A 27524-nucleotide genomic window follows, 5' to 3' on the forward strand; every position below is an offset into this window, starting at 1 on the left:
TTGCTTGGCCAAGAGTCCTTTATTTGGTAGAGCATCTGGTAGGACTAATGCTCCCAGAATACACTTCTGGGAATGTGGTTCTAGACAGTCCTGGAGCAAATCAGTCTTTGCGAATGTTCAAAATCTGTAAAAGAAAGTAATACTGGGTAGAGATCCTCCCAAAGCCTAAACCTGTGGTTCAGGGGTCTACCGCCCACTAATCACTAGACTTTCCTTTTGAAAGACAAGAAAAGGCATGAGTCATAGGCAAGCGCCTTTTCAAGCATAACTGTGAGCTATGTGGGGACTTTGGGAATCCAGCCCCCAAATTTTAGCCAAATATCAGTGAAAAAGCCATTATTGATTCCATCAATAAGTAGTTGCTGAAAACCAAAAGTAACCTGGACAGTAACCATTTCCCCCAATATCCTGTATTCTATAGGGTATTTTAGAAAATAAATATGAACGAGCAATTTTCATAACATTCTGTTTAGATTTCTGTGATTTTGAAAAATAACACTCCCAGCTTCCATAGCTCTAATCATCATAGAAACTCCTTTGCCTCTCATCCTCTGGGCACCCCCTCCTTTTCCTGCAGGTATTTATGTGGCTGAGTACCAAAGCAATAGGAAGAGATGAAGGAAAGGGTGTGATATGTTGGTAAGTGGAGGTGGGATGAGACCACGGTTTTCAGGCTTGACTTTGTGAGAGTCATGCTTTTCAAAAACACATTTGCAAGTCTGATTTAAGAAAATAATTTCACAAAAACCCTGCCAGCATTCTCAGGAGGATACTTTCCTCATCTCCCACTGTCGGATATTAGAAGGTTTTGAGGCTTTTTGAATGAAGACTTTGGGATCACAAATCCCTACCTGAAAAGATTATCAGGGAATAATAACAGAGATCTATTAAACCCTATTACTCAACTTACCTAATTAACACCCCAACAAATTTACCTACATAATTTTCTTGTATTGATATACAAAGACGAGATGTAAATAACATTGCCAACCCACCATAATAAAAGCAGCTAATAAATTATTAAACATTCCCTAGGCTGATAATAAGCCAGGCACTTTACATATATCATCTCATCTTATCTTCATCCCAGCCTGTAGCTGATATTAACGCCTCTCTTTCACGGTCAGGGAATTAGAGCTCAGAGAGGTTAAGTAAACTGTCCAAGGTAACAGAGCAATGAAATCAGGATTTAAACTCTTGCCCGAATGCCCTAGCCTAGGCTTTAAGTCACTCACTGTGGATTCCACATCGAAGAGAAGCAGACAGAACTCTGGTAGCAGTTGTCATCTTAATCTCAACATGCTATTTGAGGTTTTGTGTTTTCTTTTTGCTTCCAAGTAAGATTTACCAAAACAGAGCTCCTCATAAAGCCACATTTGATCAGGATTAAGAAGCCGACAGTGAAGCTATTTAGACAAAACCTCACGTAGTCTTACAGCAGGAAAATATCCACCTCCACGCCACACCCCACTCCACCACCACTGCCTTCCTTTATTTGGAAGCTTTTCAGATTTTTATGCTAACACACTGTGGGAGTTTGACATGGCCCACCCTGAGAGCTGAGAATTTTTTTTTTTTTTACATTTTTATCCTGTGTTTCAGGAAAATTGAAGAGAGAATGAAAAAAAAAAACAGGAAGAGGCTGCTTATCTTTTTAGCACTCATTGAAACAATTCAGAGTCACATTTGACGTAGTTTCCTAAATCATCAAGCAATTATTTTCTACCACAAGAAAAAATTGTCAGTTAGACAGGAAGCCAATTCAACAACTCTTCCAAAATCTAGGGATTCAACATTAAAATCTCCACTAACAAACTAGTGCTAGTATTAAAAATCATAACAATAACATTTGTATTGCTCACCATAGTCAAAGCTTTGTGCTGAGTGATATATATGCATAATCATATTTGACTATTATAACCTTATAAAGTAAGAGCTCTTATTATTCCCACTTTACACGTAAGGAAAATGAGGCTCAGAAGGATTAAGGGATTCCACCACTTTACCAATAACATAGCTGGGATTCGAACCCAAAGCCCGAGTCCACAGTCCAGACTACTAACTATTCCTCTGTACTCAAGGTCAGCACAAGTTTGCTGTAAAAGGCCAGTTAATATTTTCAGCATTTCAGGCTATGAAGTATCTATGGACCTCAACTCCGTTGTTATAGCACAAATGCAGCATAGACAAGAAGTGAACAAACGGGCAGGGCTGTGTGGCAATAAAACTCTTTTATATTAATACATTCTAGCTGTATTTTCACAGTACATGTGATAATCTGATACATTCATATAATTAAATCAGGGCAATGAGGATAGCCATCACCTTAAACATTTACTTCAAGACAGTAGGAACCTTCAAATTATTCTCTTCTAGTTATTGTGAAATGCACAAAGGATTAATGTTATCTATAATCACCCTCATGATCTATTGAACACCAGGTCTTACTTCTTCTATCTAAAGCCAACGTAACTTTGTTCACAAAAGCAGGCAACCAACCAGATTTGGCCCAGGGGTCATAGTTTGTTGACCTCTGTTCTATTCCTTTATGAAAGAGGGAAGATTTGAGCTGAATCTGTTAAGGATGGAGTAGATTTCAACCGGTGAGGAGAGGAAGAAAAGAAAAGAAAAAATACAGAGGTTTGTAAGCAGGTATATATACAAGCCACACCTTATATGGGAGGGTTAGGAACCTTTCTTTGAAGAAGTGATATTTGAGTTAAAGTTGTTGTTTTTTTTTTTTAAGAAAATCATCAAACAATCAAACAAAACAAAAACTATCCATTGGTTCACAGAATTGGAGAGTCTAGAAGCACTTCGAGCTTCACATGTGGCTTGATGCAGGTGCTCAATCAATGTCACTCACAGAAGGCTGAACAAGCATAAAAATGCCTTCATTTGCTCAAGAAACATTTATGGAATTTCTTTTTTTTTTTTTTTTTTTGAGATGTAGTTTCACTCTTGTCTCCCAGGCTGGAGTGCAATGGCATGATCTCGGCTCACAGCAACCTCCACCTCCCAGGTTCAAGCGATTCTCCTGCCTCAGCCTCCCGAGTAGCTGGGATTACAGGCACCCGCCACCACGCCTGGCTAATTTATGTATTTTTAGTAGAGACGGGGTTTCACCATGTTGGCCAGGCTGGTCTTACTCCTGACCTCAGGTGATCCACCCACCTTAGCCTCCCAAAGTGCTGGGATTACAGGCATGAGCCACCACGCCCAGCCCTATTTATAGAATTTCTTCTTTCACATGAGCCCTCTCTTAGCGCTAAGAGTACCCCCAATGAATAAGGCTCTGTCTTTGACTTCAAGAAGGTCCCAGTCCAGTGGGTGCCACCATAGGAGAGAGTCTGCCTGAGGGTAAAATTCACACAGAAGAAAACAGGACTGAGAAGTGGAGAGGAAGAGAGACTTGGTGGCATTGATGAAGCATCTGGATCAAGCCATGCCTGAAACTAGACCTACATCTCGACTTTTCAATTCCAGGAGCCACTGATTTCCTTCTACTTTGTTTCTTGTTTCTTCCTGGTTGAAATAACTTCAACTCAAATATTCCTTCTTCAGAGAAACTGAAGCTGACCATCCAATATCAAGCTAGGTCTTCTCATATATCCTTTCATAATGCCTAGTACTTTTTTTTTCAGTGCACTTATCACAATTTCAGTTAAGTTATGTAATTGATATTTTTAGCAGCAATCTCTCTTTGGAGCTCTAAGAGGGCTCCCATATTTTGGTCCATAGTGAGTGCTAAATAAATTCATTGTTTTTAATGTTCTAGAGCATGATATGGTTTGGATTTGTGTCCCCACCCAAATCTGATGTAGAATTGGAGAAGGGGCCTGATGGGAGGAGATCAGATCATGGGGGTGGATTTCCCCCTTGCTGTTCTCATGATAGTGAGTTTTCCCAGGATCCGATGGCTTAAAAGTGTGTGACAGTTCCCCACTTAACTCTCTCTCTCCCTCCTGCCACCACTGAAGAAGGTGCCTGCTTCCCCTTTGCCTTCTGTCATGATTGTAAATTTCCTGAGGCTTCCCAGTCACGCTTCCTGTTAAGCTTCTGGAACCATGAGTCAATTAAACCTCTTTTCCTCATAAATTACCCAGTCTCAGGTAGTTCTTCATAGCAGTATGAGAATGGACTAATACAGAATCATTTTAGGTTCACAGAAAAATTAAGCAGAAAGCACAGTTTCCATATACCTCTTGCCTCCACCCCCACCCCTCCCCCCATCCCCCCCCACACACACATACATACAACTTTCCCAACTATCAACATCTTACACTAGGGTGATACATTTATTACCATTAATGAACCTACAATAACACATCATTATCACCCAAAGTCCACAGTTTACATTAAGGTTCACTCTTGGTATTGTACATGCTAAGGGATTTTGACAAATGTACAATGCCATGTATTCAACATTGTAGCACATTTTCACTGCTCTAAAAATCCTGTTCTCTGCTTATTCATTTCTCCCTTCACCCTAAATGTACTACCCTGGTAAAAAAAAAAAAATTTACAAAACAAACAAAAGCCATATTTTTATGTCTTTGCTAAATGGGATTCTGGCATCTCTTCTGGTCTTTTCTTCCAGCCTCTAGGATGGTTCCCACGAGTTTATCATTCCACGCCTAGGTTAGGGATGCCTCCTGAGAGCTAGAATCAGTGCTGTTAAGCTCATCAGGGAGGAGCACAGGGCACTCCACAAAGTCTTAGGAAGGCAGCAAGGAAACATCTAGGCTTATGCTCTCCATAGCTTTCATTCTATTTTTTAAACTAGCAGCCCAACTGCTTTTTGTCCTGAGTGCCAAAATGCATCTGGAATGAGGCATAATCCTCCCACTTCCAACAGACTCACTTGGTGTAATGTCACAGGTAAATGTATCAGAACCCAGTAGATGTTCTACTTATGATAATTGCTCTGAAATGTTACTAACACTTCTCAAAATATAGGTGTTGCCTTGGAGCATGTGATGAGAATGCAGTTTGCCTCTTTTCTGTCTCTTCATCTTGGACTCCCTCACATAGCAAAATGCTCCCAACAGTTAACGATTCTGTTTTCTCGGTTTATTTCAAGGGAAAGGTATTCCAAGCCTCATGCTTCAGGACTTCCTATCTGACCTCAGTAATGCAACTTATGTCGTATTTATCATTGCCAATATTAAAGAAAAGAATATGGGTTGCCCCCCAAAGTCACTGAAAACACTCGCTCTTTCAATTCTTGTCTGCCTGCTAGGTTTTATGACAAAGACAGATTGGGAGAGTAGGTGGTGATACGATGTGGAGTACACCTTCCTGTTTGAAGGCAATGAGTATACTTCAGCACCAACTAATTCAGTAATAAGAGACCGCATTGCTGCATTTCCAACATCTGCCTCCTGAGAAAAGTCATAAAGCTCATCCATGGCTTCTCCTGGCCTTTACTTCCTGCCTGATCCTCAAACCGTCCCCCTTCCGTCCCCACTGAGGGGTGCAAAGCATCAGCCACAGGAGAATGAGATTTTCTCTGTTCTGGGATGGGGTGAGGCTCCAACACCTTGAGCTTTACCACCTTAAAGAATAGATCCTGCAAGGAACGGGCAAGAGAACAATTGACAGGATTTGGGACTCTCCTTATACGATGCTTCATTCATTCAACAGATATTTATTGAGCTTGTTCTATCTGCCAAATAGAGCTCTGGGGATGCGACGATGTGAAGGAAAGAAAAAAAAAGATGATGGCTCATGCCTTCATGAAGCTAAAAATCTATTCAGAAGACAAATGTTGATCACACAAATGGCACAAATACATGTAAAAACCCCAACTATGATTAATGAGCTGTGTTGCCTGCAATAAGCTGCATCTCCAGATCCCACCACAAGATGACAGTTTCATTCATATTTTATGTTCTATCGACAAGCTATCCTGTAAATTTCATCCACATTTGGAACCCACCAAGAGCTCGCACGATATCAAATATACAGGGCTTTTGTGCAATTTCAAAATAAAGGGTGGCTCTGGTTGGAAGTAAAATTTCCAGGAAAAAAAAAAAAAGCCTTTTTAGTTACCTAGCCTAGCATGAGGGGAGAATATCAAGCAATAGTGTATGTGTGTGTGTGTATGGCACTGCAGAAGGAGAGAAAAAAACACCAGAAAAGTGGGGACACACCTGCTCTACACACACACACACACACACACACAAGTGCATACTCTCGAATTCAAAATGGAGGAAGCTTGAATGCTTCCTGGGTTGCCATTGCTGTTTGTTGCCGTGTGTTAATGACAGAGCATTGCACTTCTCTCCGATGTACACAAACAAAGCTGAGAGCTGTTAATAGGTTTGAAATGACATTACGGATTGCTCAAAACAAAACTGTTACTGTTTCAGAGGCAGACCACAAGGGAAAGAAAACTCAGAGTAGATAAACCCGCCCAGAATCCCCCTGATGTGGGAATAAAACCACAGTCTCAAATTTTTTATTCCACACCAAGGCCAGAGACTGGAGGAGACACCAGTGGAAAATCTGCTCAACTTCAAGAGTTAGCTGTCACATCACTGTGGCTAGACACCAGCTCCCTCCATGCCAGTCTCTGCTGGAGTCAAAGACTGAAAAGAAAATTCCAAATCCAGTTCTGGTCACCAATCTAAATGATTAACCGAGCCCCATTCTGCATACAGGTAGCTGTGCTTCCAATAACCGCAAGTAATTAGCTACTTCGTGATTCTAAGAGAGCCTCTTCAAGAACTGTTTCAGCCATCCATGCACCAACTGGTTAAATCATGTTGCTGTATCTCTGATTTCAGACTGGGTCCAATTTTCAGCTCTGCCAGTTGCTGTGTGATATCAGGCAAGTTATCTAACCTCTCTGAGACCCAGTGTTTTATTCTGCAAAAATAGGAATAAAAGGTAGTTACTATTCACTCCAGTTCTGAAATTGTCTGCATGGATTGAATGTGAAAAAATGTGTGAAGTAGTAAGCAGAGTAGGAAGCTCACATTTTGTTTATCTCCCACCAATTTAGTGCAATATTAAGCTAGATATTTTTCTAAGCTCTTGAAAATTATTAATCCATTTAATCTTCATACCATTATTTTCTCTTTTCCAAAGAAGGAAACTGAGGTATAGAGGAATAAAGGATATCTCCATGGTCACAGCTTGGAGAGCTATGACTCACATTCACAGCTGGCTCCAGAATCCATGCACCTCACCACTGCACTTAGTTGGGAATTGAGAAATGTTTATCAGTCTATTTCATCCCTCATTTCAAGCAGTCTCCAAATCCAGCTGATTTATCTTGCCTTTGATGGATTTCACTCAACTCAACCAACCTTTCCATTCCACTGCCACCCTTTACAAAATTCTGGTCTTCTACTGTCTAATCCACACTACACGTGATTTAAAAAAATCAAGTCTGAAATATTACTTTCCTGCCTGCCCATCCTGCTGAAACCCATTCCATAGCTCCCCTTTTCTTGCAAGATGAAGCCCAAACACTGGTGGGTCCTTTTCCAACCAGACCAACCTGCACTGCCTGTTGTCATCTTGTAAACCCTGTGCCCCCATCACTCTGCACCATCCAGACCTCCACATGAGTCGTCATCACTCTGCCCACCCCACGTGCACTCACACTGGCACTTTCCCCAGAAATGCCTTCTCCGCTCCTTTCGAGCCTTTGCACACCTTTACAACTCTTTAAGATCCACAGTTCGAGTCTATGAGTGAAGTTTAAACTGAAAAGGTCAATGACAAGTGGTGAACTAGAGCAAAGAATGCAATGGAAGAGGTGTTCTAGGAAAGATCAATCTGGTCACAGATCCTACTTAGGATCTGTGAGATCTTTAGAGAGAGACACAGAGAGACAGGCAAAGAGAGAGAGATTGAGAGAGAGAAAAAGAAGGGAAGGAGGGAGAAACAGGGAGAAAGATTGAAAGAGAGTGAGAGAGAGGAAGAAGGGAAAGAAAGAGGCAGGTGAGAGACAGGACAGAGAGAGATTAAAAGAGAGTGAAAGAAAGAGAAGGAGGGAGACAGGGGAGACAGTGACACAGAAGTAGAGGAAGAGAGAGAGTCGGCATTGGCGGAGGAAACAGGGAAACCAGTGAGCCCAACATTGCAGTTATTCAACATCTCTTTCTTTGATTAAAGACAGAGATCTCAAGCAGGTGTCCAATAAATCAACTATAACCCACAGATATGTATCTCTGCTTCATAATTGTTTAATAAGGAGAATTCACATGAAACTTCACATTTCTAGATTCTCTTTAAAAATCAGAAGATTTAGCCTGGGTGTGGTGGCTCATGCCTATAATCCCAGCACTTTAGGAGGCCAAGGTGGGAGGATCACTTGAGGCCAGCGTTTGAGACAAGCCTAGGCAGCATAGCAAGAACCTGTCTCTACAAAACAAAAAATTAAAAAATTAGGCAGGTGTGGTGGCATGCATCTGTAGTCCCAGCTACTTGGGAGGCTGAGGTTTCTGTTTCAACAACAACAACAAAAATCAGAAAATTTAGTCACCCTGGACCCCACGTTCCCCTTGGCAACATTTGTCTAATCTGAACATCAGCTATTTCCTTTGGATGGCACATTCGCTCTCCACTTTGCCACACTCCCCACTACTCCCTATTACTCCTAAACACTGAAGTCAAGTTATGGCTTATCATTACTCTTGCAATATTTCTTTTCTTGAGTAGAAGTCTACTTCTCACAACTAAACCTCTATCATAAGAGGCAAAATCATACACAGACCAAGAGGAACACATATTTCAAGGCAAATGGAGGCAAATATCTTTTGGGTAGAAGTGAAGACTATCCCATGTCTTCAATATGCCAACATCTGGCCTGATTCACTGTGTACCTACCATAGGTTGGGCCCCCAGGCTTATATCCGTCCTAGGACTTGGACCTTCCTGCCAAGCCTTGCTCTGGTTGCCCTTCCTCTCATTCCATCTTCCAAACCAGGACTAACTAGGTCTGCCCCCAAGGTTGGGTCCAATGCCCTGAATCTTTTCTAACTTGCTCTGACTCCAGTACTTATCCTCCTCTTTGGACACTGCTCACTAATTAGGCAGTCACATAAACTCATTCTAAATAGGGTATGAAGGGCTGAGGATGGCTTCATATACTCTACCTCTCAGGTTACAACTTAACAGGAGCCTTCTGTGCTTTAACCTAATAGCTATAAATAGGTTTCCTGAAGCCTCAAATTCCTAATGAGTTCCTCTCAGGTGCTGCTGTGGGAAGTCAGTCCTGGGGAATGAGGTGGAGGGGGAGCAAGATAACCAGGACAGCAGCTGCAGTTTTCCCTGCCCCGTATAATGAAGTTCTGTGTAAGATCCTACTTGGAGGTGAGGGTGGGGTAGAATGGTTCCACTACCTAAACAAATAATAATAATAAACAGTTTAAGTTTGAAAAGCAATGGTGTAGCAGTTATGGTTTTGTTGCAAGTAAAAGAAACCAGTTCCAGCTAATGGAGTTTATTGGAAGGATAATGTCTGGAGGAGAGAGGTACTCACAGACTCTATGGGGAGCCCAGGTGGCCAGGCTTGACAGCAGGCAGGCAGGCACTGAGAAGCAGGCAGCAGGAAGTCAAGTAGGATGTAAAGGAACCACCCTGTAGCCAAACAGTTCGGACGCCATCCTGTAGCCACTGCTCTTGTCACAGCTGGAAGGAATGGCTTCCCATGGTGACCCTCTCCTCACGTGATTCACTCAGAAATCAAAGCCCTAGGGAAACACCTTCCATTAACCCAGGACTTCTCCACTGTGACACTTGCTGACATTTAGGGCTGGATCTTTCTTTTTTGTGGGTCCCTTCCTGTGCATTGCAGAACGTTTAGTAGCATCCCTGGCCTCCACCTGCCAGATGCCAGCAGCACCCCCCACCAATTCTAACAACCAAAAGCTGTCTCCAGACATCGCCAAATATCTCCTGAGGACACAACTGCCCCCAGTTGAGAACCACTGAGTGAGCCCAGCTTCAGTCACACGCTGGCTATTTTGGAGCACCAGGGCAGGCTCTGTGAGCTCTGCTTTCCTATCAGAAGGCAGATGCCTAGAATTGTCCTCCACACTCCATACAATAAAGACAATTATCCACCGAATTAAATCAAGAGCCATCAAAATAACAACAATGAAAAGGTAAAAATCCACAAATGAGAAGCACCACCACTTTGGGCTGTAAGCAGAGAGGGCTTTCTTTCCTCCCCTGCAGACCAGCCAACAGACATCACAGATGGAGGACAGGGCTTTCCCGGAGGCCTACACATCAGTGATCACCTGCCCCCACATTGGCCCTTCCTAAGCCACCCATCAGCTGAGCACGCCAAGTCAAGTTGAAAGGGAAACAGCTGGTTTGAGAGACTTCCCATCTGAATTCCCCGCTCAGGACTTCTCTGGGTTACCAGATGGGATTTAGAGACCCTTTTAATCTGGGTGGTGTGGGGGCACAGGTTAGCTCTTCATTGAAGAAGAGAGCAGATTTGTTCCTCCTGCACCCGAACTTCAGTCACGCTGAACCTGCACTGTGTGACTGTCATGGTTTCGGGATTACATGAATTTGCTGCAGCAAACCTGCCTCTGCCATTGTGTGTGTATTAGTCCATTTTTCACACTGCTGTAACAAACTCCCTGAGACTGAGTAACTTATAAACAAAAGATGTTTAAATGACTCACAGTTCCACGTGGCTGGGGAAGCCTTAGGAAACTTGCAGTCATGGTGGAAGGTGAAGGAGAAGCAAGTACCTTCTGCACAAGGCAGCAGGGAAGAGAGTGCGAGTGAAGGAGGAACTCCCAAGCACCTATAAACTCATCAGATCCTGTGAATACTCACTCACTATCATGAGAACACCATGGGGGAAACCACCCCCGTGATCCAATCACCTCCCACCAGGTGCCTCCCTCTGCACAGGGAGATTACAATTTCAGATGAGGTTTGGGTGGGGACACAGCGAAAAGAATGAAGTACAAACCTCATATCTTTGAAGCTCTTAAAACTTTCAAACTCAGCCCTACCAGAACAAATGGCTTAAGATTATTCAAACAATGAGGGAAGAAAGAAGGTGGAAAATGAATATAAAGACAAAAAACTAAATAAATAAATAAATGTCTAAAGAACTTGATTGACCTCTAAATGTGATGTCTGAATTTTAAGTTTGCTTTCCACTTGCAATTCATTCTTAGTACACAATTACATCTTAAATAGATAATCCTCTGTAGAACAGTTCTTATGTAAACAGCCAGTAATTTTGATATATTAGAATTAAAAGAAATTTCCTAAGGCCAAATTCTGCCATGTTTTAAGAAATATGCCTTGGTTATTCCAGGAATAATTTTGCTTCAGGGACCCAATTAAAGTTATCAAAACTGTAGGTTCTTCTGGATGCTAAAAATGCAATATATTTTGTACATACCTCTACAGGTTATTATTTTTAGGGATTTTATTTTACAGACAAAAAAACATCCAACCAAGGGGAAGGGTTTTTAGAAGATCACATAATTCTAAACCGCAAACAAAAAGCACAAAGCTCTATAATCATGAAGGCTTGTAAAGAACAAGCAGGTTTGCTCACGGACAGTTGAAATAGGTTTGCCTGTGATATGAGGCAATTTTCAATGCTTTGAAGTTTAAGATGCAGTAAGCACAGTTCACATGAGGCATAATCGAGAGGCAGTTGTTTGTTTCTGCTGCTGCAAAATTATGGGGTATCCCATATGGGCTAGCATCTTGTGCGTTTGTATATACGGTAATTTCCCTGCAAGAAGCCTGACATTCCATGCTTTCTTCAGGAAGAAATGGAAACAGTGCTGGGGACAGCTGATGACAGGTTTTCAAGTGTCTCCATCCTCATGCCTGCAATTGTTAAAAGTATGGGCCAACCAGACCAGCCAAAGAGGGGAGAGACAAATGGAAAAGGTGTTATGTGGGAAATAGAACAGGTAAATAAAAACAGTTCTGTTTCTGAGACCCGTCAAAATATTTGTCATCCTGATAACAGGGTGAAGTCTCTGACAGATTTCACTTAGCCAGGTATTTTACTTGCAAGCAAGATTGGAGCAACTTGACCTTTATCATTTCATAACGAGCAAAGAATTTGCCTGTCATGCTGCAATTTCTGTTATGTGGCTTCAAGAAGCAAAAGAGAGAAAGAGAAGAGAGAAAAAGCTCATTTGTCGATTTTCCTGTTGAAATATCACCAACTCAACCCATGTGATGTGGTCCAACTGATGGGACCCCAGTGTGGCCACCAGAAGTAATAGTCTGGGAGAATGAGGGTCCCAGGGGAATCCTCCTGGAGCTATGGTTACAAATGCTGAAATTCTCAGATTTTTTTTTCAAAAATAAGTGAATTTTTTTCTATAGTCTAACGCAGGGGGCAGCAAATGTTTCCTGTGGAGAACTAGACAGTAAATGTTTTAGGCTGTGTAAATTCTATGGTCTCTGTCATGACTACTCAACTCTGCTGCTGCAGCATAGAAACCTACTGTAAATGAACGAGCATGGCTATGTTCCAAGAACTCTTGGTTTTACAGAAACAGGCATTGAGCTGGCTTTGGCCCGTGGGCCTTGGTTTGTGGACTATACTTTAAAGGTTGACCAGGCTTTGTAGGCCTTCATAGCCTCAGAGATGCCACCCAATATCCAAGGTTTGGGGGAATCTCTCAATGTGACAACTAGGAAATTTTGCTTCAACCATTCTGTAGTGAATTCCTGTAATTTTACATTGCCTTGAAATCCATTTTAAAGATAAGTTTAAACTTCTCATACCAGAGTAGGGCTTAGTCACCTTTGACACAGTTTCCAGTCCTCTGCCTACTCCTAGTTTCTTGACATGGTGGATCCAGATATCAGCGGTATACAACCGCCTCCTGGCCTCCTGGTTGGGAGGTGGCCACTTCCTTATGGGACAGCTGGGTACCACCTATCTGACTCACTCCCCTGGCCCCCACACCCCCCATGGACTGCAAAGACATGCCACAGTTTGACCACCTGTTAGTCACCCCACTCAGAACTCGCACCCACCTGTGTGCTCTAAACCCACCAATTAGAGCTCCATAGGAAACCTCCATGGGCAACACCCTGGCCTTAATAAGGTCTCCAACCCTCAGGTTCCTCTCCCTCTACCCTGCCTTCTGTCTCTCTCCTTCTCTCTGTCTCTCTTTCTGTCTCTCCTTCTCTCCCTCTCTTGCTGTCTCTCTCTGTCTCTCTCTTGCTGTCTCTCTTTGTTCTCTTTGTCTCACTGTCTCTCTTGCTGTCTCGCTGTCTCTGTCTCTCTGTCTTGCTGTCTCTCTGCCTCTCTTGCTGTCTTGCTGTCTCTCTCTTGCTCGCTGTCTCTGTCTCCTCACTGTCTTTCTGTCTCTCTGTCTCTTTCTCACTCTCTATCTCTCTCTCGCCCTCTGCCTCTCTCTCTCTGTCTCTGTCTCTTGCTGTCTCTCTCTCTCACTGTCTCTGTCTCTGTCTCTCGCTTTCTCTCTCTCACTATCTCTGTCTCTTTCGCTCTGTGTCTCTCTCTGTCTCTATCTCTCTCTGTCTCTCTCTCACTGTCTCTCTGTGTGTGTGTCTCTCCCCATCCCCTGGCTGATCTTCCTGCCCCCTCAGAGTTTCTGACAGTCTCCCAGAGGCATCTCTAACCTCCCAATCTGTAAGTAATGCATTTCTTCCATTTCATGCCATTTGGTTTTGCCTTTTCTTATGCCTCACCTGACTGACACACCCAAACCTAACTTCCCCCAGAGAGGGCACTCCTAGAAAGCGTCTATCTTGGTTTATGGCCACTCAATACCAAATCAGAAACCATAACAATAAAAATTACAACAAAGAAAAAAAACTCTATAATAACAGCAGAGCTTTTTTCAAAAAAAACCTACAGATTATATCTTTATTCCTCACACATCCTCAAATCCACTCTGAAAACAGTAACAGGTACTTTCAGGCCAGTATGGCAAAGTTGCCGGAAGTGACCCAAAATGAGAGGATGGCAGCCCTCAGCATCTATCACCGCTTAGGCAGGTCTCACGACAGACTGAGTGAAGGTGGGACTGCTCCTCTCCCACTTGTTCACTTTTCAATCCCATGAAATACCCTGGCTTTTACCTCCAGCCAGAGTGCCCCAAAACAGCATCAGCTCTCACAGCCCTGGATTCAACATCCCCCCCAAGATCAGTGGAGTAGGAATACTCCAACAGCCCAGTGTCCAGGCTGTTAATGCATTCTTCATGCACTTGAAGTGTTGGGCTTTGTTTAAAGCATCACTTTTTTCTAAAACTAAATCTCTCTAAACATTCAATGATGGCAAGGCATGGTTCACACCTGTAATCCCAGCGCTTTGGGAGGCAGAGGCAGGTGCATCATTTGAGATCATGAGTTCAAGACCAGCCTGGCCAACATGGCAAAACCCCGTCCCTACTAAAAACACACAAAAAAAGCCAGGTGTGGTGGCACGCACCTGTAATCCCAGAGACTCAGGAGGCTGAGGCAGGAAGATCACTTGAACCTGGGAGATGGAGGTTGCAGTGAGCCAAGATCGCGCCACTGCACTCCAGCCTGGGTGACAGAGCTACACTTCGTCTCAAAAAAAAAAAAAAAAATTCAATGCTTTCTAGAAAATCTGGCACTTTCTGTCTGCTACAAAAAGCCACTTTTCCCCCACCCATGTTGATTAAAACATAATTGTTGCACATTTAATATTTGTTTTTCAAAGGTCCAGAGTAAAGCAAATTCTCAGCGTGATTCTTCCCAACACTGCTTTAAAACAACGTGTGTGAATGTAACCTCTAAAAATCCCAATTATGAAGTTGTCTCACAGGTGGCCCCCGACCTCAGCATTCCTGACCTTTATCCATCCTGGCCCTTAAGTGGATAGCCACATACTTGGACGCCTGACTTCAGCTCTTTTGGGCTCCTTCATCTCCCTTCTGTGACCCTTGGTGGAAAAGCCCAGAGCCTCTAACTTTATAGGTGGATGAGCTGTGGCCTGACCTTACTTAGGACCCTAGGCTTGTCATTCAGCCTCTGAAAGCTCCCCACTCCGTCCCCACAGCTAGCAGGGCCACGTTCCAAGGAGGAGCAATGAACAGAAAGGGCTTTGCTCCTGGAACCAGGTGAGCGAGCGTTTTTAAGAGGCTTTTCTAGCCATGGCAGAGCAATTTAAATAACAAGGGTCAGGATTAGCCCTTTATGGTATCGAGGTGGGGAAAAAATCCGCAGAGGCAGTGAAATGAGAAAGGTAGACTAGCATTCATTCTCTTACAATAGTTCCGTTTCCCATCTTGCTAAGCACACACAGCCGTAATTATATTGCTTTCCACCGACTTGTATACACACTTCCTTCCCGCCATAAAAACACAAGCGCCTCCATAGATGAAAACTGATTTTAATATAGAAACCCCAGTATCTATAATTCATGCTCTTTAGCCTTTACATATTTATCCTGCATTTTAATTAAGGCCAAAATCTGAATACTTTAGATGGATAGTTTCTTTTCTCTTCTATGCATAGCTTATAGGTAAATTACCTGGCAGAAGCCCAAATGTTAAGCAAACACAATAGAACCTGGGACTGGAGTAAGCTATTATCGGACGGTCAGCCCAGGAGAGCTTGGAAAGCTCTCTCCTTTCAAAGGTAACCATCTGAAGACTGGCAGGACTTGTCTCCTGCAGTTGCAAAAGAATGAGAAGATAAAATCCCCAAGTTTGGGCATGACAGTACAGCCCACCTCTCCACAGCAAAGGCGTCACCTCCAGTGACATCTGAGAAGAGAGGACGGGAGGGGCTGGGAGAATGGAAAGGGGTTTGAAAGACCCCTGAAGTACCAGGAATCTATCCTCTGGGCCTAGGACAGTAGTTCCCAAAACTGACCCTGGAATGGTCCAGCTGACACAGAGAACACATCTAAGATTAGAAAAGCCAAAAGTTCACGGTTGGCCTTTGGTAGGAATGACCAGATTTTTCGATGAAATGTTTGATGCTTTGAAACCCTAGGAAGTGCCTCCATGAATAATATATCAAGAACGGTGATCTTTAAAATGCAAAACTCCACCTAAGCCTGGCCCAAGTAGGTACCAATGTGGTCTTTTTTAATTGCTAAAGCAGTTTAGCAAACTAGAGCCTGCAGGCCAAATCTGGACCAATGCATGTTTTTGTAAATAAAGGTTTACTGGAACACAGCTGTATTCACTTAATGTATTATCTGTGGCTGTTTTCATGTTAGGATGACAAAGTTCAGTAGTTGGAATGCAGATCATTTGGCCTGAAAAGCCTAATTTCTTCTCTGACCCTTTACAGAAAAGCTTGCCAGCCCCTGCGCTCAAGAATTGCTTCTTCACATTCTGCCTTCCAGTTTCTTCTTTCAGGAAAAGAAGTGGAAATAAATCTGAGACATTTGGAATTGCCAAATTCTCTCCATTGTACTGTTTCTTCTAGTCTTTACAAAAGCAAGGAAAAGAACTGTAGACATTTCTTGCCAATCATCTTCTCTGGAGGTAAAACAGCCCATATTAATTTTCTAGGAGTCATAACATTGTACTGGGTAACACTTCCAGTGTGTGCCTGCTAGGAGGACCAGGGACCCAGGTACTGGACTGGTACTTTGTCTCCATTATCTTGTTTGAATATTCAGGCCACCTCAATGTGGACTTTGCTAGAATATCAATAATTTGCTGTTGATAAGAGACAGAGGCAATTTTAAAACCAAATCTATCTGATTTTAAATCTGATCTTCTTAACTACAGCACCTTTGCTACTGACACTTAGACACTCTGCCAAGCACTGTCCTCTTAACCCTTAAAACAGACCCATCATGAGATAGATGATACTGACAAACCCATCTCACAGATCAGGAAACTGAGACTTGGAAAGTAAAATGACTTCCTCAAGATCACCCAGCTCATGTGAGGCAGTGCCGGGGAGTAGGCTCCAGAGCCATCGGGTATACTTGGCTGCTGGTTCCCGTGACTAAGACACTTTGTGTCTCTGGGGCTCAGCTTTCTGTCAGTAAAACAAAATGTCTAACATTCCTGGGCCCAACAAGCTAAGATGAATAGAGTACCTTTGAAAATATGACCAAAAAAATAAAATAAAATAAAAAACATGATTTGCTAAATAAATAAACTTTATGAGCAATGGGATAGATTTCCCCTACTCCCCACACCTCGGAAGCAGCTGCCCAGTGGACACTATGGATCTCAAAATTCCGCCTCCTGGCTCCATCATGATGCTCATTCCATTCAAGGCAGATGAGATATCCAAGGTGGACTCTGCAGGATTACATGCTTCTCTCCGTCCTCTTACATGAACTTTCTTTCATAGCATTGAGGGTTCCCAGACCTCCCTTTGAAAGGCACACTAAATGCATACACACCTAAATGAATAAATGAATATTGAGACAGCACAAAGACCCTGGAGATGACACTGCTGTATCAAAACTGTTAATTGATGCTTGTAAAGGACTATTTTGGGGTAAAGGGAGCTACCCAGCATCCATTCTGCTGTCTTGGGGGAGAGTACCCTGATTTCCTTTGCGGTAATCGCTGTGCCCATGTGGAATCAGTTCTTCAAGACTGAATTTCAAATATGCCCTCCCTCTTTTGGGCAACAGCAGAACACACCTCCAGCCAGGCTTCTCAGAGCTGGCCTGGAAAACTCCAAAAAGAGGGTCTTTCCAGTCAGGACTCTTCATAGACCCTGATAGCAAGACTCTCTGCAGCAACTGAGTTTTGGTACCAGCTAAGCCTGGCTTCCAAATCTCCCTCTGTCCTGTGAATTGCCTGGTAGCCTCTCAATAAATCATGGCCTTTCATAAACTAACAAACTGGTTTCTGTTGCTTGTAACCAACCAACACAAATTTTTACAATGCCAGAAGGGCCGTTCTTGAAAAAAAAAATTGCCTTCATTCTGTATCTTTCTGTCTCATTTGGGGTCCTCTTTCTAAGCATACTTTTAAATCAATTTTGCTTCCAATTTTACCTTTTAAAATAAATCTAGATAGCCATAGCCATTTTTTAAGTGCCAGGTAGGGTGGAAGTTGACCAAATATGAACAGAACTACAAAGTTAAATTGAAGAGCTATGCTTTATAAATACCTGTCTTAAAGGGTAATACGTCTTGAGTGCCCTTACTTTTATTTTATCATTCAGCTCCTATCATCACTTGTGTTAGCTTCCCTCCCCAGCACTGGTGAGCTAGAACTCTGTGAAGCTGAGATTCTCTGAACTCAACAGGGTCTTGACCTCAATCTGTTGTCCAAACAGGTGCAAATTTGCTGCAAAGCATCATTGTCTGCTCCATGTTTTACTGTTCTATTTCACTAAATGCATTTATAAACATGATCCACAATGTCTACAGAATTTCTTAAATCTCTTTCTTTCAAAAACATTACAATAAAGGATATAGAGTTACTTGGTATACCTTGTACCTAGGGAACCCTTGGGAGCCCTTTAAACTGTTACTTTCTTCCCAATGTGCCTATAAACTCGTCATATAAATATCTGTCCCACAATTTACACCCTGCAATGGTGACCTATAATATTTGGAATAAAATCTAAACTTCTGACCATGGCAAACGAAGCCATCTAGTAAATGACCACTTCCTAGAGCTCCACTGCATCGCAGACACCTCCCGACACACTCCTCCTCCCTGCTGCCAGCTCCTGCCCACCCCTCACACAGGCTGCACTCCTGTCACCTCGGGACCTTGCACTTGCTCTTTCCTCTGCCTGGATTGCTCCTCCTATCTCTAGGACTGGCTCCTCTCCCTGTGCCATGCAGGGCTTAGCTGAAATGTCACCACTTTAAAAAGACTTTTACGGGCCACTGGGCGTCAGCATCCCCCACCCCCAGCCTGCTGTCTCACATCCACCCTGCTCTGTTTTATTTTCCAGGACTCACTGCTTTGCAAACTGCATTATTGATGCTTCGCTTCCTTGTCTGTTGCCTCAACCACAATGCAAGTTCCATGAGAGAAGGGATTTCATATTTCTAGCACTAAGTGTCTGGAACAGCATGCTTGTGAAAGAAAGGGAGGAAAGAAGATAATAAGAAAAAAAGAAAGGAAAGCAGAGAGGCAGAGGGGAAAGAAAGAGCTTTATGAAGCACTGCCATCCATTTGACTGGTATTAATTTCTGTAATCTACGTTTTCAAAAACTAGGACCTCATCTGCCTCTCCCTAAATCTTCTAATTATAATAATAACAGTGATTCATCAGGGGCAGGTCTAAGTTTTGTGGGAACATACACAATTTTAAAGACTCTCTGCTGGGCGCAGTGGCTCACGCCTGTAATCCCAGCACTTTGGGAGGCCGAGGCACGTGGATCACCTGAGGTTGGAAGTTCGAGACCAACCTGACCAACATGGAGAAACCCCATCTCTACTAAAAATACAAAAAAAAAAAAAAATTAGCCGGGCATGGTGGCGCATGCCGTTAATCCCAGCTACTCAGGAGGCTAAGCCAGGAGAAACGCTTGAACCCGGGAGGCGGAGGTTGCAGTGAGCCGAGATCGCACCTTTGCACTCCTGCCTGGGAAACAAGAGCAAGACTCCATCTCAAAAATAAATAAATAAAATTTAAAATAAAAAATAAAGACTCTCTTTAAGAATATAAAATTATCAACATAACAGCAGGTATGGAAACGTATGTTTATATAAAACGAGAAAACAAATCACAACACACAATAAGTGTTTTAGAAATTCACATCCCTTTCTTCTTGGATGTCCCTGGGCAATTTGCCAAAAATGCTCAAATAGGAATGCCTCCCAAAAGTGACCTGGCCTCTGCTACACACCTAGAACATTCTATGCCTCCCAGAAAAAAACCCAGAAGTGACAGGGGTCCAGGTATGTAAGGGTCTCAGAGGCTGATACATAATTTGCTTCCTAACACATTGCCTCTGTGCCTTATGATCATAAAACGTCATACACCAACCGGACCCTGTCTTCATTCATATTATCTCATTTCACCCTCACAATTGCCCAGTAAGAAACCCCCACTAATTTAGAAACATCCCCATTTCACAGATGGAAAAACTGCAGCCGTTTGCAATTGTTCTCAACAGTGTTTATCAATCATGTGTGAAAGTGTGTTCAGTGCCAGGTGACAAAACCCACCTTCTCAGGAAAACACGAACTTAACAATGCCCCCATCTCCCCATCCATCTTACACTTTGATTCCATCTTAACAATATTCCTCATTAATCACCTATTTTCCAAGCTGTAGCTCTTTTTTTTTTAATTTCCTGACCACACTTCTAACATCTTTATGTTTGCTTTCATTACTTCTGTGTTTGCAGCAGCTCTAAATTCAGTTTCCTCCCAAGTTTCATTAACGTGCTCTTTGCTTCCTCTTGCAAATCTCAAAGGCAGGCACACTCGATGATTTTAAAGCATGTCTTCACTACAAAAGTGAGCGCTGAGCTGGGAGAGAAGGGAAGACAGCACATGAGGTACCATTCCTCACTGAACACCGCAGCCCAAGTCAAAACCCTGGCAACTCCCTGTCCCGATGAGGCTGCGGGGTGGAGAGGGGTCATAGGTACCATTTCTTGCTCATCAGGTGCAAATTGGTACAACTTTTCTGTGACACATTTGGCAACTGCTATAAAACTTACCAATGCATTTACCTTTTGGCTCAGAGTAAACTCCGTCGGAAACACCGCTCCTAGAAACATATTTCTATACGTAAATGTTTACATATACACTGGCACATGTGTAAAGAAAGGAATACCCACGTTTATTCAGTGTTGTTTCTAATTCAATGCAGTGCTGTTTCTAATAATAGCACATTATAAACAATCTATGGGGTCAATCAACAGAGGAATGGTCCAGTAAATCATGGTATAGCTATATAACAGAAAATTAGAAAGCTGAAAAAAAGAAGAAATAAGCCCTTTATATTCAAATATAAAAGGAACTATAAGAGAACATATTCCAAGTAGAAAAAGCAGGTACAGAATAATATGTATACATGGATGACTTTTTGTTTAAAAAAGCAAAAGATCCATTTTTAAACTTAGATGAAGAAAAATATCACATGAAGGGTAAACAAGAAACCACTAACAATGGCTACAAGTTTTGGTTTTGGAGGCTTTGGGAATTAGGACAGGAAAAATATTTCCTGCTACTTATCTTTTTATCTTTTTTATATTTTTGGTATACATGACTGGATGACCTTGTCAAAAATTAAAATTAAAAATTCGATGGGGAAAATAGAGATTGAATTATTCAACATCCTAATTCCCAAAGAACAACATCACTGGCCATTACTCATCACTGGAGGATTGATGTAGTATCAGAACATCTTAAAATTCTTTTCATCATGCCAAAATTTATTAAAACTAAGAAGGTGGATCCTTTCAGCCACAATTTGGTGAATCGGATGTTCTTAACAAAGAATTTTTTGAAGGAGAGGGTGGTGCTGTTTTCAGCTGATGACTGGTTTTGTCTGCCTTGAATCTTTGCCCCCTTCCTCTTGTTACAATATCCTTCCTTTGTTTTCAAAAACTGTCCCTCCACCATCTGGTGACACAGATTTACCTCCATCACGTGACAAGGTGGTCATGTGACTCAGGCTGGTATGCAACAGGAATCCTCTGACCTCATGCACAGTGATTGGCCCAGGATAGGACACATGACCCAAGCAGAGCCAGTCAGGACCCTTCTTCCAGGAAAGGGAAAGGCAGGCCCTTACCCCCACGGAGACAATGGGCATTAAAGACACACAGCCTAGAAGCTTGCAGTGAGCCGAGATAGCGCCACCGCACTCCATCCTGGGCAACAGAGTGAGACTCCGGCTCAAAAAAAAAAAAAAAAAAAAAAAAAAGACACACAGCCTAGAGCTGCCAATGGCCTTCTCTCTTGCCACACAGGATCAGGAGGGTAGAGACAATTAAGAATAAACACAATAAAGAGAAATGCAGAGCCCAAAAAGGGAGAGAAGTGGAGTCCGAATGACAGTTTGAATTCCTGCATCCAGCTATACCTGAAGTAGCACCAATCCATAAATTCTCTACATCGCTGGGGCCAAGTTAAATGAGTTTATATCACTTGGAACCAAAAGAATCCTGACTAATATGCTCTTAGCCAATGATTAGCAGCATTGAGGTATGTGTTCAGTTTTAAGGTTGGTTCACCCTGATCACCTTACCAGCTTCTTCTGGATTCTTCTTACAACTAAAGACTATATCAATTGTTGCTACAATCCTGCTCTCATTCGTTTCACACCCTTACCTACAAAGTTAACACGACAAATCAATCACTACTTTAAAGGGATTGCTCTGACAAATAAGTGCTGTCAAAAAGAACAAATCTCCTTTGACAGTGACAGTTCTTCGGGGTGAAGATAAAGCACAGAGTAGACAACAAAGTCACCATCGTCGCAGGCTGTGATGTTATTTATTCCTATCTAATTCGTCTGAGGCCCACCTACTTCAGTACTTGAGGTTCCACAAACAGTTTAAGAGAATGAATGACTGAAAACACACCATCCAGAATCCCTTCCAACTAAGGAAGGTAGCATGATTGGGGGGTTTTGGCATCAAACAGAACCCAAATTCAAGACTCTGCCATGTAGCAGCTGTGTGTCTTTGATCCAGCCACCTAAGCCTTCTGCACCTCAGCTCTGAGCTGTAGAATGAGGATGAAAAATGTTCCTAACTCACAGGATTGCTGTAAAGACCTGAAGAAACGTTGCAGATGAGGAGCTAAGCACGATGCCATTGGTGGGGTTCAGAATACGCTACCCCAAAATGTGGCACCTTGGCATACAGAGTAAGCTAAAGGAAGTTGAGGAAGGGCATGTATGGGAAAGGCTCTTCGACCTTCCCCTGAAGACTTCATAGAACCTAGGAAGGATTTTCTGACCTACCCCTAAAGCAGATCATGAGACCCTCATGAGAGAGGCACCCTCCCTATCCCTGGAGGAGAGGAACATTCTATCTCTAAGACACAGGGACACAAAGACGAATCTGAACAAATAGGCCTTACTGAGTTTACCCCATGCTCCTTACATTTAGCTCATCTGCCCTTGGTCCTATCATGTTTCTTCACCACTGTCCGCTCTTCCTCAAACCCAGCATAACAAACACTCAAGTGTAACTATTTCTTCAGGTCTCCTTTTAAAGTTTCCCACGTCATGTAAAACTGATATTAAATAAATGTGAATGGCTTGCTCTTGTTAATCTCTTTTATTAGAGGCCCCAGCCAATGAACCTAAGATGAATAGAGGGAAAAGATAACTTTCCTCCACTGCAAAGTAAGTGCTCAATATAGAGTAACAATCAACACCATGTATTTGTTCAGTAACATCAACTGATCTCATATGAGTAAAGCTCAGTGGTAGATGATGTGAAGAATGTAAAGTCCATCAGACATGGATCCTCCCTTCCAAGAGCTTACCATCTACTAATAAGAGAGCTAGGACTAGTATATAAATCATTACAAATAAAATAATAATAATAATAACCCATCTTAACCAGGCACTGGAGATTCAACAACAAATAAGGTAATAATCTTTGCCTTAATGGAGGGTATGTTTCATTGGAGGGGACCAGCAATAAATAATGAAGTGTGTAATTTAAAGTTCTGATAAGAAGTACACCATGTTAGGAGAGCAACAATAGGGAGTTTTAGGTGGAAGATCTACGCACGAAAGTGACGTATGGAGAAAGTGCCCCTCAGGGGAGATATCAGGAAGAAGATGGAAGACAGAAACAGGATAAGGAAGGGGAGGAGGCCAGGCAAGGGGTGACCCCCTTAAAGTCACACGAAGAGCAGCTTCAGCTAACCCCACAGGCAACTCTGCAATGCAAATTATGCCTCAGGGTTGTCCCAATCTGTGGCCAACAAGCCAGAAATGTATCATTCCACAACTGCAGACCTTGGCGAAGGCCCACCCTGGGAGACATAAACCCAGGCACTTCTGGCACTTTTGGGTTGTGGACCAGTTGTCTCCAGCAGCCCAGGGAAATCCTCTGAGCAAAGGAGCAGGTGTGGGTGGTGGGAAGCAGAAGCCCACAAAGCCAGGGAGGGGCACTCAGAGCACTAGTGGGACCCCAGGACAGGGACCCCAACCCAGGCCACACAGCAGCACGTGAGTGGCAGATGTGCAAGCGAAGCTTCATCTGTATTTACAGAAGCTCCCCATAGCTCGCATTACTGCCTAAGCTCCGACTCCTGTCAGATCAGCGGCCACATTAGATTCTCATAGGAGCACAAACCCTATTGTGAACTGTATATGCACGGGATGTAGGTCGTGTGCTCCTTATGAGAATCTAATGCCTGATGATCTGTCACAGTCTCCCATCACTTCCAGATGTGGGTTGCAGGAAAACGAGATCAGGGCTCCCACTGATTCTATATTATGATGAGTTGTATAAATTATTTCATTGTGTATTACAATGTAATAATATTAGAAAGTACACAATAAATGTAATGCACTTGAATCATCCCAAAACCATCCCCCCACCTCCTCCAGTCCATGGAAAAATTGTCTTCCATGAAACCAGTCCCTTGGAACTCCGCCAGTCCCCCTGGGGGATGTGGCGGAGTTCCAACAGTGTCCATGACACATGGGCTCTTAGCCTCCTGTTAGTGATGGGTTATCAGGAGCGGCTTCCCTGAGGAGGTGACGTTTCAGCTGCATAGGAGTAGCTAGGCAAACAGCAGGGGAAATTGACTGTGAGATTAATTACAGGGTTATTTAGATGTAAAATGTTTGTGAAAGGCAGTGAACCTGGGGATCTTGTAGGATGCCACTCCCATCTGTGCTCCGTCTGCAGCCCTGACACCGCTCTCTGCCGAAGCCAAAGCCATTAGCGGTGGTGCCAGGTGGTGGGGCTCATTGCTGCCTCTGGTGACGTGCGCTGTAATGGGAGATCAAGGGCTCTTATCAGGAAGCACTTGACAGCCTCACCGCTAAACAACTCAACCTTCGGTGGCCAATTTCATTGCTTATCACAAATGCTCCCAAACACAGAGCTCTTGCGCTCTGGGCTGCTGCGGCAGATCGATGAGGAAGCTCCCCAACTCTCCAAGCCCATCACCATGGATCATGTCTGCCAGCACAAAAGTTCTAAAAGACCTCCACTTTCACTTCCACACGTGTTCCTAACTCCGGCTGAGAAAATGAGATCCAAGAAGCAAGCTTGAAGAGAAACTCCACGTGGATCTATCTAGATCAGTGCTTCTCAACCTAGAGGTGGTTTTGGCCTGCAGGAAACATTGGCAGTGTCTGGGGACATTTGTGCTTTTCAGGACTGTGGGGGGCAGGGGTGCTCCTGGCATCTAGTGGGCAGTGGCCAGGGACACTGCTAGACATCCTGTAAGGCCCAGGACAGCCCCCACAACAAAGAATTATTTGGCCCAAAATGGCAATAATGCCAAGGTTCAGAAACCAAGGTCTGGAACAATAGTGTGTGGCAAAGGTCAGCTCTCTAATCTACAAACTCTCTTTTTCTTGCCAAGATCAGAAACATGATATATGTAGGTCATGATGTTTTTCCGTTTTTCAAGTGGCAAAAAAAACCCTATGCAAGCCATCTTAAGTATAAAATGGGACTTATTGTACAAATAATTGATTAGGCAGGGCAAAACCCAGAGGTTCTAATGATGCCATCAGAAATAATCTCAGTATCTCTTTCTGTCTCCCTCCCCTCTTTCTTCCTTCCCTCCCTTCCTCCTTCCCTCTCTCTGTTCTTTTTTCCTCCTTCCTTTTTGTCTTATTCTGAAGTAGCCTCGCTCCTTGTGGAGGCTATAAAGAGCAACAGCTTATGTTCTGCTAAATTGATAACCTCAGGGCAAGAGCACTCCTTCCTGATACTTCATGTCATGATCTAGCAATTGGCTGGATTTTCCAACCTAGGTGACTTGACCACCCCTGAACCAATCACCATAGCCAGGAATGTAGCACTGTCATTGGTCACACCTGAGTCAGGCGTCCACCTGTAGAGTCAGGGTGAGTAAACCTACCCAGAACCATGGACTGAGATTGGGCTCCAAGGGAAATAGGGATGCTCTACGTGTAATTGTTTATTCAATCCTCACATCAGCCCTGGAACAAAGATAATACATTGTATCCATGGACAGGGAAGTCCCATTGAGAAGACAGCATGGCAGCATGACTGGGATGTGGTGTCAGGAGCCAGGCAGCCCAGGGTCAGTTCCCAGCTCTACAACTGACGCTAGGCAATGGTGTTTGGTTTCCTTGTCTGCATAGTGGGAAATGGCTTGTTTTGAGAATCAAATGAGTTAATACATATAAAGGGTTTTAAATCATGCCTGGGACAGACAGAAAGCCCTTGATAAGTGCTGGTGGTTGTTTCTGAGAATTAACCCAAGCAATCCAAGGGGTGCTTTTCACGTAACTTATGTAAGTTTTCTGTTAACTTGGATCGGATTTTATAATCCCATCCAAGTTTACAGAAGAAACTGAAATCCAGAAAAAAAATCTGACTTCTTTCAGATCATGCAGGTCTGTGGCAAATACAGGACAAAAGGGCCCACTTGTCCTGACCCCTGTCCAGGGCTCTTTTCACTGCCCCACGGACCCTTTGGAAGATTCAGTGCACTCTAAATTCCATCAGCCCCAACAGGTGGCCATCCACCCTGGAAGCCAGCCCATGTTGATTTTATAAACTTTCCATCCACCATGACATGCTGGCCTCCCCAAATATAAAGCATCCCCAGCCGTGATAGGGGTTGAGAGCCTCACCTTTCTCAGTCAACTGGGGGTCATCCTACTCCCGTGGCTGCACAAGGGGGAGGCGGTCACAGTTTTAAGGTTCATTCACACACTGCTCTGGCTTTCCGGCAGCCTCCTTCACTCTTTCTCAGGCTCCCTGGAAACCCATCAGCCCCATGATATTTATTACCTGCTCCTTCCATTTATGAGTTAGTGATGGAAAAAGAGAAGCTGTGTACTTCTTTCAGGCAGCATGAGAGGCAGAGAGAAGAAAAGGTTATGGCTGTGTTTACTTTACTTAGTGCTGTTTTCCAGGCTGCCTCCCAATTGACGCTCAACAGCAATCCAATAGCATATTATTAACCAAAGAGCTTTCTCAGATAAACACCAAACAGCTGCTATAATGACACACGACCTAGGTGGAGAGGCAAAGATAAATGCTAATTTTAAAATTAAATTGCTATTTCCCTGCATGTCTAAGAGAATGGGAAAAGAATGATGGGAATAAGTGATAGGAAGTAATGATGTAAATGGAACTGGGTCGTCTCTACCCATCCACAACGAGGTCAAAGAGAAAGGGCTGAGACTGTCTTAAGAATTAACATTATTGAACGTTTAACACATGCCAGATATGATGCACTGTGATGCACTGTTGCATTGTTTCATTTAATGCAACAACCCTATGTAGATATAGGTGCCTTTTTTTTTTTCTGAGACGGAGTCTTGCTTTGTTGCTCAGGCTGGAGTACAGTGGCGTGGTCTCGGCTCACTGCAACCTCTGCCTCCCGGGTTCAAGCAATTCTCCTGCCTCAGCCTCCCGAGTAGCTGGGATCCCAGGTGCATGCCACCACACCTGGCTAATTTTTGTATTT

The 27524-nt window shown here is 43.3% G+C and overlaps 1 long non-coding RNA gene across 2 annotated transcripts; it reads right to left on the minus strand.

Annotated features, from left to right (window-relative positions):
• On the minus strand, nt 1–27319 carry LOC105372680 (uncharacterized). Of its 2 annotated transcripts, XR_936893.3 has the most exons (4): nt 26683–27319; nt 24706–24835; nt 20176–20390; nt 1–124 (listed from the first exon to the last, which is right to left on the minus strand). It is a non-coding gene; the product is annotated as an uncharacterized LOC105372680 (long non-coding RNA). The 2 variants fall into 2 exon arrangements; XR_001754685.2 differs by lacking the exon at nt 26683–27319 and having other exon boundaries at nt 24706–25563.
• Nucleotides 27320–27524: the final 205 nt, after the last annotated feature.

The sequence above is a fragment of the Homo sapiens genome, chromosome 20 (genome assembly GCF_000001405.40).
Source record: "Homo sapiens chromosome 20, GRCh38.p14 Primary Assembly".
Taxonomy (NCBI): Eukaryota; Metazoa; Chordata; class Mammalia; order Primates; family Hominidae; genus Homo; species Homo sapiens.